Source organism: Homo sapiens, chromosome 5 (assembly GCF_000001405.40).
Source record: "Homo sapiens chromosome 5, GRCh38.p14 Primary Assembly".
Taxonomy (NCBI): domain Eukaryota; kingdom Metazoa; phylum Chordata; class Mammalia; order Primates; family Hominidae; genus Homo; species Homo sapiens.
In genome coordinates, this window is record NC_000005.10 from 2183231 (window position 1) to 2194661 (window position 11431).

Sequence of the window (11431 nt, forward strand, 5' to 3'; positions counted from 1 at the left end):
CAAGGCGGAACCAGGAGTAAGGCCCTTGGCATTTTTAACCCAGTGTCGGGGATTTCTCTTCGGGGAGCAGGTGGGGAGGGCGTTGCCGCTCCTGAGGCGTTACAGGCAGCTTCCCCTTGCTCCTCAAATGCTGCCTGGAAATGCGGGCTCCTTTAACCTTGGGAGTCACAAGGTCCCCTGACCCAGTGCCCTGTCAATACTTAGGAGTGTCCAGGGCCCAACCTGAGCTCCGGGGACACCTCCTGTGTGCCCTTGGCCTCTTCCTTACACAGAATCTGCTACTCTTCAAACACCATTGGCAAAAAGCCTGACCCTGTGACTTGATTGTTTATTTGTTGTTTGTCTTTGATAACTTGTCTTGTGAGGGCTGTGTTTGTGTTTCTTCTTTGCAAACAGAGGGTGAGTCGGCGCTGGGGGTGAGTGAATTGGGTCTTGGTGGATTCAGTGTAAACGAGCCTGAGATTCAGTTCTCTTGCTTTAGCGTTGACTTGGGAGCAGAGTTGAAGTCGGAGCCCTGGCCTTCTGAAGAAAGGCTTTTGGAACTAAGCAGTGGATGGGGGAGTAGCCTTGGCACTGGGAACATCAGTGCCCTGGATGGGCCTGCGGGGAGGCTGCTGGGGGCGGGGAGGCCCACTGCCCCTCTGTCTGTGGGCCCTCGGGGAGGCTGCCAGGGGAGGGGAAGCCCACTGTCCCTCTGTTTCTCTGCTGGTTTCCCTCCGTGCTGCAGCCCCTGCTGTTCTTCATGGATCTGTAAGGATGGAAAGACTTTTAAAGTGGTCCCTGCAAATGTGCAAATGTCACAGTTTACTGCAATTTAGGCCGCGCATGATTGGAATAGCATCTCTCTTCCTGGTAGACAAATGGCAGTCATCAAGGATGTTTCTGACTTCAGAGAGCATGGTCAGCATTTCCTGTTCCACGCCCCGCTTCCTCCCCTTCACTGTCCTCTGAGGGCGGAACATTGTGCTTTCTGACCAAGGACTGTCTCTGTTCAACTTGGAGCTCCTTAATTGTTGGTGTCATCAGGAAAGTCATAAAAACAGTCCAAGCCAGCATTAAAAACAGTCCAAGCTAGCATTAAAAACAGTCCAAGCCAGCATTAACAGAGTTCAATTTCACCAATGCATAAAAACAGAGAGTCGCTCTAGTCTGCGTGGGGAAATGCTCTCCCTAAAATAAGAGTGGAATTTCCCGCTACGACTTCATATCGTGTCTTAACCACAGGGCACTGTTCACGTTTGACACATAATCCTCAAGATTGGCCAGAGTGAAATGGTTTCCGGGATTAAGAGAGGAGTTAGGAAAATATCGAATGGAAAGGGATTTCTTCCACCCAGGATGGCTGCCCACCTTCACCTTTGCCCTGTTGTTTGAACAAGAGGGAAGTTATTTTATAGGAATGGATGGAAAAGGGGAAAAAATATTCTAAACTTTTTTCTGTCTCTGAGAATTGGGCAACTATTAAAAACTCCTGGTGTGGGCTGGTCCGGAGGTCATGGGTTCTCTCAGCCGGCTGCTATCCGTCAGCTACAGATCCAACTCCTTGTTCTATTCCCCGCTCTCCTCACTACTGTACTTGGCTGGTCTATAAAACAACCAACGCACCAAACAAAACTCTAGTTTCCACATCGTCTTTTTGCTTGAGTTTGGGACATTCAGGAAGGCTGACAGGTGGGTGTTGAACCTCTCACTCACACGGGCTGGGTGGACTTTGTGGCAGGCCTCCATGTCCCCTCTCCCCTTTGCCCTGGCAGTTCCCTGGTGGGCCCACATCTGTCCCGGGTTAGGGTTAGGGCTTGGGTTAGGGTTAGGGGTTAGGGGTTAGGGTTGGGGTTAGGGCTTGGGTTAGGGTTAGGGGTTAGGGGTTTGGGGTTAGGGTTGGGGTTAAGGGTTAGGGGTTTGGGGTAGGGTTGGGGTTAAGGGTTAGGGGTTTGGGGTTAGGGTTGGGGTTAAGGGTCAGGGGTTAGGGTTAGGGGAGCACAGGAACAGCTCCACTCCAGGACACCAGGAACAATCCCCCAACTCTTCACAACCCATGAATCACCGCCTCCTATTCCAGTACTGAATTTCTCCACCCACTTTGTTCCCTAAATCACCTTGATGAGCTCGTTAGAGCAGGAGGAACATCGGGTGATGGTTTGACAGAAGGCAAGAAAAAAGCCTCATCTCTACCCTTTACTTAGGGTGAAACCAGCAGGGAGTGTGATGAGAAAGGATGAGGGGGTATGGAGAGGGGGCAGTAGAAGCTGGCGGAGGGGGTACTCCAGCTTGCAGCAGAGCCCACAACAGGCTGTCACTATGGGGGACATCTAGGGCAGGGCCAGCCCCTCTTATGGGTTGCTGAGGGTCCAGGAGGTGTGAGCCTCTAGCCCGGGGCAGAGGAAGGAAAGTCCAGAGGCCAGCAGGGGCCTTAGCCTGGCTTATGCAGGGAGGGACACCTCGGCTAGATGGGCACCCCAACGGAGCCTGAAGCTAAGGGCACTGCTGGTCATCTCTGGACGCCACTTGCCGTGGTCCCACCTGGGGCTTCAGGCTGAAGGGCTGGCCTTGGTGCACCCTGAAAAGATGGAGGTGGGGTTGGGCCACCAACAGGCAGTGAGAGCAGGCGGCCCTGGGACCTGGGGGCTTCCAGGGGCAGCCCTAGCGAGCTGACCCACACTCCTCTGTGGTTTGCAGCTTGCGTTTCCGTGCTGGAAGGTGCTGGAAGGTGCTGGAAGGTGCTGGAAGGAAGGATGCCATCCTGAGATGCAAGACAGGCCCCGCAGGGCCACTGGGGAGAAATGGGCACGGGGTTCGCCTCGCCCACCCTGGGTCACAGGATGGGTTCCAGCCCCATTTCAGCAACCCGGGTGCTTGTTTTGAATCAGCCTCCTGGACTTTCGCCATGAAATCAGCGGGCAGCTTCTGTCTCCAGCAGCCAGCAGAGGCCTGGACAAAATCCCACAGGAGGGAGGTCCACTTACAACGGTCCCTTCCTTCGAAGCAGCCTCAGGGTCAGGGATAGGGCGTGGCTTTGGTGATACAACCGCGATGTGAACGCCTGAGATTTTAGTACTTACAGACGGGGGGCACACAGCACACCTGGAGGCCGCACACTCAGGGGTCAGAGAGCACGGGCAGGGAGAAAGCAGGCTCCCGGCAGCCCACTGCGTAGACGGGGGACTCGGGTGGGGGCACCTTAAGCTCACAGGCAAAGGCCTGAATCACCCATTTTAAGGAAAACGAGGAGCCCAGTGTGCGAGGCGAGAGAGACGTCTGTGTTTTTACCTCTGGCCGCCACCTTGAGCCATTTGGATGTGGTGTCAAACTGCACACGTGCGAGGGTGACTGAACCCTGGCTCTGGCACGAGAAAGCTAAACCCATTCATGGTAGATGCGGAGGTGACATAAACCTGTAGGCATCCACTATAGTTCCTCCAAATAGTCCTGAGCCAGCCCCAGGGTTCCAGCCACAGAGGCAGCGTGGCAGCAGCTCTCAGCAGCCCGTGTGGGTGTAAAGCTGCAGCATGACCGAAACTCACAAGCATTCCCATGCTCTGAGGGGGTCTGGCCCCCATGGGACCCAAGAAGAGGGGGCAGCAGCGCACAGAGGAGCTACAGCAGCCACCTCGACCCGACCATGCGCCCCGGATCATCAGCATCTGGAGCAAGAAGAGCCGCGCTTCTCCCTGGAGACGTTCACCAAAGAGACGCCTCTCCAGAGAGAAAGTTGGTGCCATGGGCCGCCGGGAGCTCGGTTTATTGTATAGACGGTGGAACTGAAGAGCAGAGATTTGAGGCTTATCCATAGCGAGGGGCTTGTTTAGACCTAGTTGCTGAAATTAAGGTAGGTATTTGGTCTGTACATTAATTCCTATGTGCTGTAATTAATCATCTGCTTTAATGAATGATGACTTATGATGTGATTTCCTAAAATGAGATGTTTTCCTTTCAGCATAAACCCTGGGAAGGCTGGCCTCCCAGGTCTTGAGGTTGGGGGCAGGTGGGCAGGGTGAGGAGCAACCTTGGGCTTAGTGTTGAGTACTGGAGTCTGGCACCAGACACTTGGGCACAAAACCAAGCGGGTAGTCAGTGATGTGGCCTGGAGCAGGCGACTCACCCATCTGTGACTAGACTTCCCGCTTGCGTCACGGGACCATGCACCAACTGTGTCATGCGGTCTTGGAAAGATTAAATATACCGATCTTCGTAAGTGTGTGCAACTTACAGGGGTGCACAGACCATGCGCTACGTAAGTCTTCACCAGGAAGACATCATACCCCACGCAAAGGTCAGAGTGACTCAAGTTATGCCATTAAACATCCAGCAGGACCAAAGAACAGTGGGTCTTAACATCAGAGAATTCCCTATTAAAATGCAGCTTCCAGCCCCTCACCAGGGAAGGCAAACTCCCAGGCTGCTGTCAATTATGACTCCACTTTGTGACAAGATGACTTGCTTGGGTGCCTGAGGAAACGCTAGATTCCCAGTGGCCTTGTGGTGGTTGGGCATGAGGTGTCCAGAAAAGGAATTCAACAGCAGAGGAACAGAAAGAGGGGCCCTACACTGCGCCTGCCATCCTCATGGGCTTCGTTTCCAGCCAGGTTAGCAAGTCCCGCCCTTGCTCCCTCCCCGCACCCCAGAAAAGGAAGCACCGGCTCCGCTGCAGTGGACACAGCCCTGCCCACAGGCTGCCCCTCTCTGTGTGTGACTTGGCCACTGTCTTCCAGCTCCCGGGCCCTCTGAGCCCCAGCCTTCCTGGCTTGAGGCAGATGCGCACCTGGCAAGGCTGAGGCGCCACTGGGAGGATGCCGGCCTGGTGCCAGTCCCAGAGCCTGGGGTCTGCAGGATACCCCTGGACACCCAGGTCCTTCTCTTCTCGCTGGCCACGTGAATCTGAACGGCGTTTGTAGGCCTAAGGACTCATGCGCTTTGTTTGAACTTCAGATTCTTTTTTTCATCTTTACTGAACCATCCTATGCATCCAGTAATGGCACGTATTTATATTTAAGTCACAATCTCATGAGTTTTGTTTGATGTGGTGAAATCATCACTACATCAGTAGTGAACTTACCTGTCACCTCCAAGTTCCTTTCGTAATCCCTCCCTCCTCCCCACCCCACCCCTCCGGCTCACAGGCAATCACTGCCCGCTTTCTGTCAGAATAGATTAGTTTGCAATTTCTAGCATTTTATAAAAATAGAAATCTACGGAACATGCTCTTTGCTTCTGGCTTTTTTGTTTTAACTCAGACTAATTCTTTTGACGTTTCCCCCATGTTGTCCCATGTTTCAATAGCTGGTAACTTTTGATTGCTGAGTAATATTTGATAGTATGAATATTCCGTAACTTATTCTCTGTTCACTTGTTGGTGGACATTTGGGTTATTTCTTTTACTTAGCTATTATGAATATTCATGTTCAAGTTTTAGTGTATTTATGTTTTCATTTTGGGCATGCATTTATCTAAATATAATGGCTGCATTATCTATGGGTCTCAGAGGGTCCAGAAGCTGGAAGACAGTGGCCAAGTCACACAGAGAGAGGGGCAGCCTGTGGGCAGGGCTGTGTCCACTGCAGCGGAGCCGGTGCTTTCTGGGGTATGGGGAGGGAGCAAGGGCAGGACCTGCTAACCTGGCTGAAAATGAAGCCCATGAGGATGGCAGGGGCAGCGTAGAGCCCCTCTTTCCATTCCTGTACAGGTGAATTCTTTTTCCAGACACCTCGTGCCCAACCACCACAAGGCCACTGGGGAATCCAGTGTTTCCTCAGGCACCCAAGCAAGTCATCTTTGTTACAAAACAATGTCATAAGTGACAGCAGCCTAGGAGTTTGCTTTCCTTGGGGGAAGCTGGAAGCTATATTTTAATAGAGAGAGAATTCTCTGATGTTTAGACCCACTGTTCTTTGGTCATGCTGGATCTTTAATGGCAGGTGTAGGTATAACTCTTTAAAAAAGCTTCCATATTGTCTTCTACAGTGGTTGTGCCATTTCCCTTTCCTACTGGATGATTGAGAGTTTCAGTCGCTCTGCATCTTTGACACATCTTGGTGAGGTCGGTCTTTAAATTTAGTCATTCTCATGGCAATGGGATGGTGTCTTGCTGTGGTGTCATCTCCAGTTCCCCTAGTGATTCATGTCGCGTTTCTGTCCATGTGCTTATGTGATGGCCATATATCTGCTTTAATGAAGTATCTGTTTTGATATTTTACCCACTTTCTGAATGTATCTTCTTACTCTTGACCTATAAGAGTTGACTGTATATACTAGATATAGATCCTTTGTCAAATACATGTTTTGCAAATATTTTTCTCCCAATATGTGGCTTGAATTTTGATTTTTATAAGTTTTAAAGAGCAATTGTTTTTAATCTTGGCAAGTTCAATTTATTGATTTTTCTTGTATCCTTTTTTGTGAAAGCATTGAAGAAATATTTGTGAAACATAAATACTAAGATTTTTTTTCAGTGTTATCTTAAAGTTTTAAAGCTTTAGCTTTTCAACATCAAGGTCATTTTGTATGTGGTGTGAGGTGGGAATCAAGGTGGTTGACCATGTGTTCCATCATGATTTGGTAAAAATCTTATCCTTTTAAAAAATATCATTTGACCTCACACATGCAAGCCTGTTTCAGATTGTCTGTTTTTAAAAAATTTATATACTTGGATTTTTTTTGTGCAATTATAACTCTGTCTAAATTACTGTAACTTTATCATAAGTCCTGAAACCACACTGTAGGTGTTCCAACTTTTTAAATTTGTTTTGCCCATTTAAAATCCTTTTCATTTCCATTTAATTTGAGAATCAGATTTTTAAATCTTACAAAAAAATCAAGTTTGGGATTGAGATCAATGTGGAAAAAACTGATATTTTAACAAAATGGAATCTCCTGATCTATGAACATGGGTGTATCTCTCCAGCTATTTCAGTCTTCCTCAATATCTCTATTTCCAGACAATTTTTTCTGTTATTGGTTTCTAATTTAATTATATTATGGTCAGAGAACATATTCTATATAATTTGAATTCTATCAAATTTATTAAAGAATTCTGCTATGGTCTAGAATAGAGTGTATCTTGGTATTTTGTGTTCCCTCAAAATACATGATTATTTCCTTGCTTGAAAATAACGTGTTATCTCTGATCTCCGGTGCTCTACATGCATAATTTAGGTCAATTAAGTTCGTAGGGCAATTGCAGCGATCCCTAACCTCTGTCTGTTCCTGATCCCTTTTCTCTGTTTTAATGCCGCGGAGTTTATGTAGATGGAAGCAGATGCTGTAGTGTCCTGCACACTTTTTCTAACCTTTAAATCTTAGAATTCTCTGCAGTAAAATAGGAATGATAATCACCTCTACCTCATAGGGATTTCAGGAGAAAATCCTTCCTGCAGGGGTCCAAACCACACGGGATGTGGGGCTTCCGGTGTGGGGGTCTCCAGGGAAGGGGAGAGAGGTGAAGAACAGACCCACCCAGGGCTGCCCAGGCGGCGCTTTTGCTGGACTGTGGAGCCTCTCAGACCTCGCCTCCAACATTTGGAACTTTCCTACCACACAACTGTGGATAAAACACGGAGTCATTTCTCGTGTCTGAGCAACTGTGGCCCAAAATCCCGGCTGTCCATCTGCACCTCTGCCATGGCAGCATGAGACCCCCTCCTGGTGATTTACTCTGGGAAACGTACTTTGGCAGCTACTTCCTAACACTCCCTGTTTTAGAATTTTGCCACTGTTTCCCTGGTGGTTACAATTAAATGAGTCAGGGCTTCATTTCAAATATATTTGCTTTTCCAAAACCCGGAGGTGCCCAACTCACTCTATGCAAAAGAAAATGGATAATGAAGCACTTTAATTAATGTGAATATTATGAAATTTTAACTGGGGTTGATGGGCTCCAGTTAAGAATCAATCACTGTCTCTTAATTCTCTGATGAACCTGAGAGCCTGTGAAATAAAGCCTCAGCACAGGCACTCACATAGGAAAAGCCAATCGGAGGGGGTATTTGATTTATGAGATGCCAGATAGGATCGGTCTGATACAGCATCCCGGGGCTCTATGAGCCTGTGATTTTTTGTGTAATGAAGGTTATTCCTGAACTCATAACATTTCATATTCTGGTCTATACTCAATCATCACGCTACACTATGAGGCTTGGATTGATAAACATATTAATTATACAAAGAATCCTTCCGCGGATGGGTGATGACAGGTTATGGGCAAACCGCCTTCGGGGGAAGAATCCCCACGAGCCCCTTCAGGAAGGAACAGGTTACTCGGCAGCTTCCTGAAGATTAGAGACTGGGCCGGGCTCAATGGCTCACACCTATAATTCCAGCACTTTGGGAGGCCGAGGCAGGTGGTTTGCCTGAGCTCAGGAGTTCTCAACCAGCCTGGGCAACACGGTGAAACCCCGTCTCCACTAGAATACAAAAACATTAGCCGTGCGTAGCGGCATGTGCCTGTAGTCCCAGCTACTCAGGAGGCTGAAGCAGGAGAATTGCTTGAACCCGGGAGGCGGACGTTGTAGTGAGCTGAGATTGTGCCACTACACTCCAGCCTGGGTGACAGAGAGACACTCTGTCTCAAAAAAAAAAAAAAAAAAAGATCAGAGACTGGGGGTGGTTCCATCTGGGACCTCAATAGTCCATAGTTCTGGATAAAATCGGATTTACATCAACACTGAAATCTCTGTGCATCCTGGCCTTGGCTCAGGAAGGATTCCAGCCCTTCCCAAGTGTCCTCCGTGTGCTTGGAGGTGCTAAAGAGCCACTTCCTGCTGCAGCCACCAGCTCTTTCCAGCGCTGCTGCCATGTGAGGCCCGGGTTACCCTGAGCAGTTTGGGGACAGCCTTCCACCTGGCCTCTGCCCTGCTGAGCTGGGCCTGGCCTGTCCAGCACCTGTCCTCTGAGCCACCTTGATTCTGCAAAATCCAAGCACCACCTCTTAGTGTGGTACCTGGGCTGGGGGCCCTTGCTCAGGATTCCTGGTCCCAAGCACTCTCAGAGCTGTGGGCATTGGCCCTTTCTGCTGCAGGTTTGCACTGACAGGATGGGAGGTGGGGCAGGTGCCCATCCCGGCTGCTCCTTGGCACAGGCCCTGCCGCCTGCCTGTATGTTCAGACCATTCCAGGACTTGCCTTCTCTTACCCCCGCTGCCTGCGCTGTCCAAGCTGTTGAAAAGTTCAAGTGTTTTCTAAGAACTGCAAACATTTCTAATCCTATTACACATTATTCAGCTCATAGTTTAGACCATCAAACCCTTTTCCACATGAATTGCTGCTGCTCTAGGTCACTGCCATCCTGGGACCCTGAGGGTGGCTCTTTAAATCTCAGCCACACTCACATTTATCCCTGCTAGACTTCACTTGGGTGGCTTTCAGCATCATTTCTGTGTCCTCTACGTCTGGTTCCATCGGCGGCGGGCATTTGGCCAGGATACAGCAGGGGTGCTCTGCAGGAGACTGATTAGACAGAAGTACCGCCTGCGGCAAGGATGCTCCCCTCAGCAGCAGAGCCAGGTGCAGCTCCACCTGACCCCACGCTGTCTTACCTGCAAGAAGCCACATTCTTCAAAGAGTGTGGTGGACCCCTGGCCAAGGCATTTCCCTATCTGCAAACTTGCAAACTTATTGGAGCAGGAAACGAGAGGAGGAGGCCCTGGCCTGATGGCTTGAAGGGTGCCCATGGCTGTGGTTGCCTGTTCCCCACCTCAGATCCAGAGTCACACCAAAGACATGTTGAATGAGGCTTGGAATCTTGAAAGCGTCCTCTGTGGCCATTTGTAGACAAACTCAGATACTGACAGATACGAACATTTCTAAAAATTTCTCCTAAAGGAAAAGGGAGAAATTATTCTGGAATGTCATGCACGATAGTATCTCACCTGTGCCTGGTGTTCTATGGTTCACGTGGCAGTTTCACAAACACCAACTCCCTTCTTTCCTAACATTTAGAGGTACGTGGTTCAGGTGACAAATTTTAGAATGAGACATCACAGTGTAGTAAGTGCAGTTAAAGTGTTCAGTGGGTGCTGGCCAGGACTCCTGGTGCAGGCCCCTCCTGGCAGTGCTGAGGAGGAACCTCCAGCCACAAGCCAGTGCCACATCCCACTCCTGGGGGTACCACTTGATCTGGGGTAGCACAGCCGGACCGAGGTATGTGCCAACCTTGAAGAGTCAATGATGACCTGAAACTGCAGCTTCTTTCTTAGGTCCTTGGACACCGTATCAGCAGCTCCCTGAGATCCAGGATGACTTTTGGCACTGCCAGGCTGCGGATGGAAGAGAGCACCGTTTGAGGTTGCAGCCCATTCCCTCATCTTCTAGATTCCAATGTCACTCTCGCCCCACCTCTTGCAGCTGTTTCTGTGTTCCCTTCTCACTGTGGGAAAAGGCCAGGCTCTCCCACGGCTGCAGACAGGCCCTGTCAATTAAGGATCACTTTCAATTTCCCTGTTTATAATCCTGCGGACACTAAACATCAATAATTCCTGCCCTCTTTCCTTGTCACTAGAAGATTGATGGTGCACGTCGTCTCTCATATGAAGACATTTAAATGAAAATCACACTTCTGTCTGCATTCCATTTTCCTGCTGAGCGGGGGAAGCAACCCTATTAAATCAAATTATATGTGACTTTTAAAACTTCCCTTTACAGTGTTCAATTGAAAATCTGAATCCTATCATAATACATTGCCTTTTTATGAGTAAATTGACTTTACTTGGTCCCTTGGGGGTTTCCAGCCTCCCTTTCCATATTAGGAGGCAGAAGGACCTGCTGCCAGGCCACAAGGCACAGCACACATGACAGGGGCCTGGCAGAAGGGGACCCTCGTGCTCTGGGCACTGCCGTGGCTGGATTTGAGAGTCAACATCTGGCCCCAGCTCACCATGGCCGCGCTTCTCAACTCCAGCCTAGAGGAGGCTCCCAGGGCACCTACTGAACCTGTGGAGTAAGGGACTGTCTGATGCTGTTTACCTCCTCTGTGACGGGCCCTCCCTGTGTGACTCACAACATTGAACTCTTGCAGCAATGTCAGGAGTGGGACATGTCCTCATTGTACAGATGAAGAATCAATCAGGAGTGGGCAGTTTGCAGAAGCTTTGTACCCAGAACTATCTAGGTCTGGTGCCTGCTGTTTACTCTCCAGGCCATGGATGACATGTCACACAGTCCCACCCCAGCAGGAAGGGGGATGGAGTAGGCCGCCGTGGCCGTGCGGATGGATGCACACAACATCTGTAAGTCTGTCCATCTGTCTGTGGAGCTCTGTGTCCGTGCATCTGGGTGAGCAAGGAGCCCTGGGCAAGTCTCTGCACCAGCCTTTGAGAATCAGCAGATGTCGTTGTTGGGATAGGAGGTGCTGGTGGGAAGACTTGAAACTCAAGTTGGCCAAGTCAGTATTTAAAAACGATTAAGAAGAAATGAACAGAACAAATCCTATTAATAGCAAATGT

General features: G+C 49.5%; 2 annotated features.

Annotated features, from left to right (window-relative positions):
• Positions 8438–8938: an enhancer, noted in NCBI's record as "H3K4me1 hESC enhancer chr5:2191782-2192282 (GRCh37/hg19 assembly coordinates)". NCBI's record gives its function as "activates a minimal SCP1, AML or CMV promoter by ChIP-STARR-seq in naive and primed H9 embryonic stem cells {active_cell/tissue: H9 hESC(naive and primed)}" and the evidence as "EXISTENCE:reporter gene assay evidence [ECO:0000049][PMID:30033119]".
• Positions 8939–9439: an enhancer, noted in NCBI's record as "H3K4me1 hESC enhancer chr5:2192283-2192783 (GRCh37/hg19 assembly coordinates)". NCBI's record gives its function as "activates a minimal SCP1, AML or CMV promoter by ChIP-STARR-seq in naive H9 embryonic stem cells {active_cell/tissue: H9 hESC(naive)}" and the evidence as "EXISTENCE:reporter gene assay evidence [ECO:0000049][PMID:30033119]".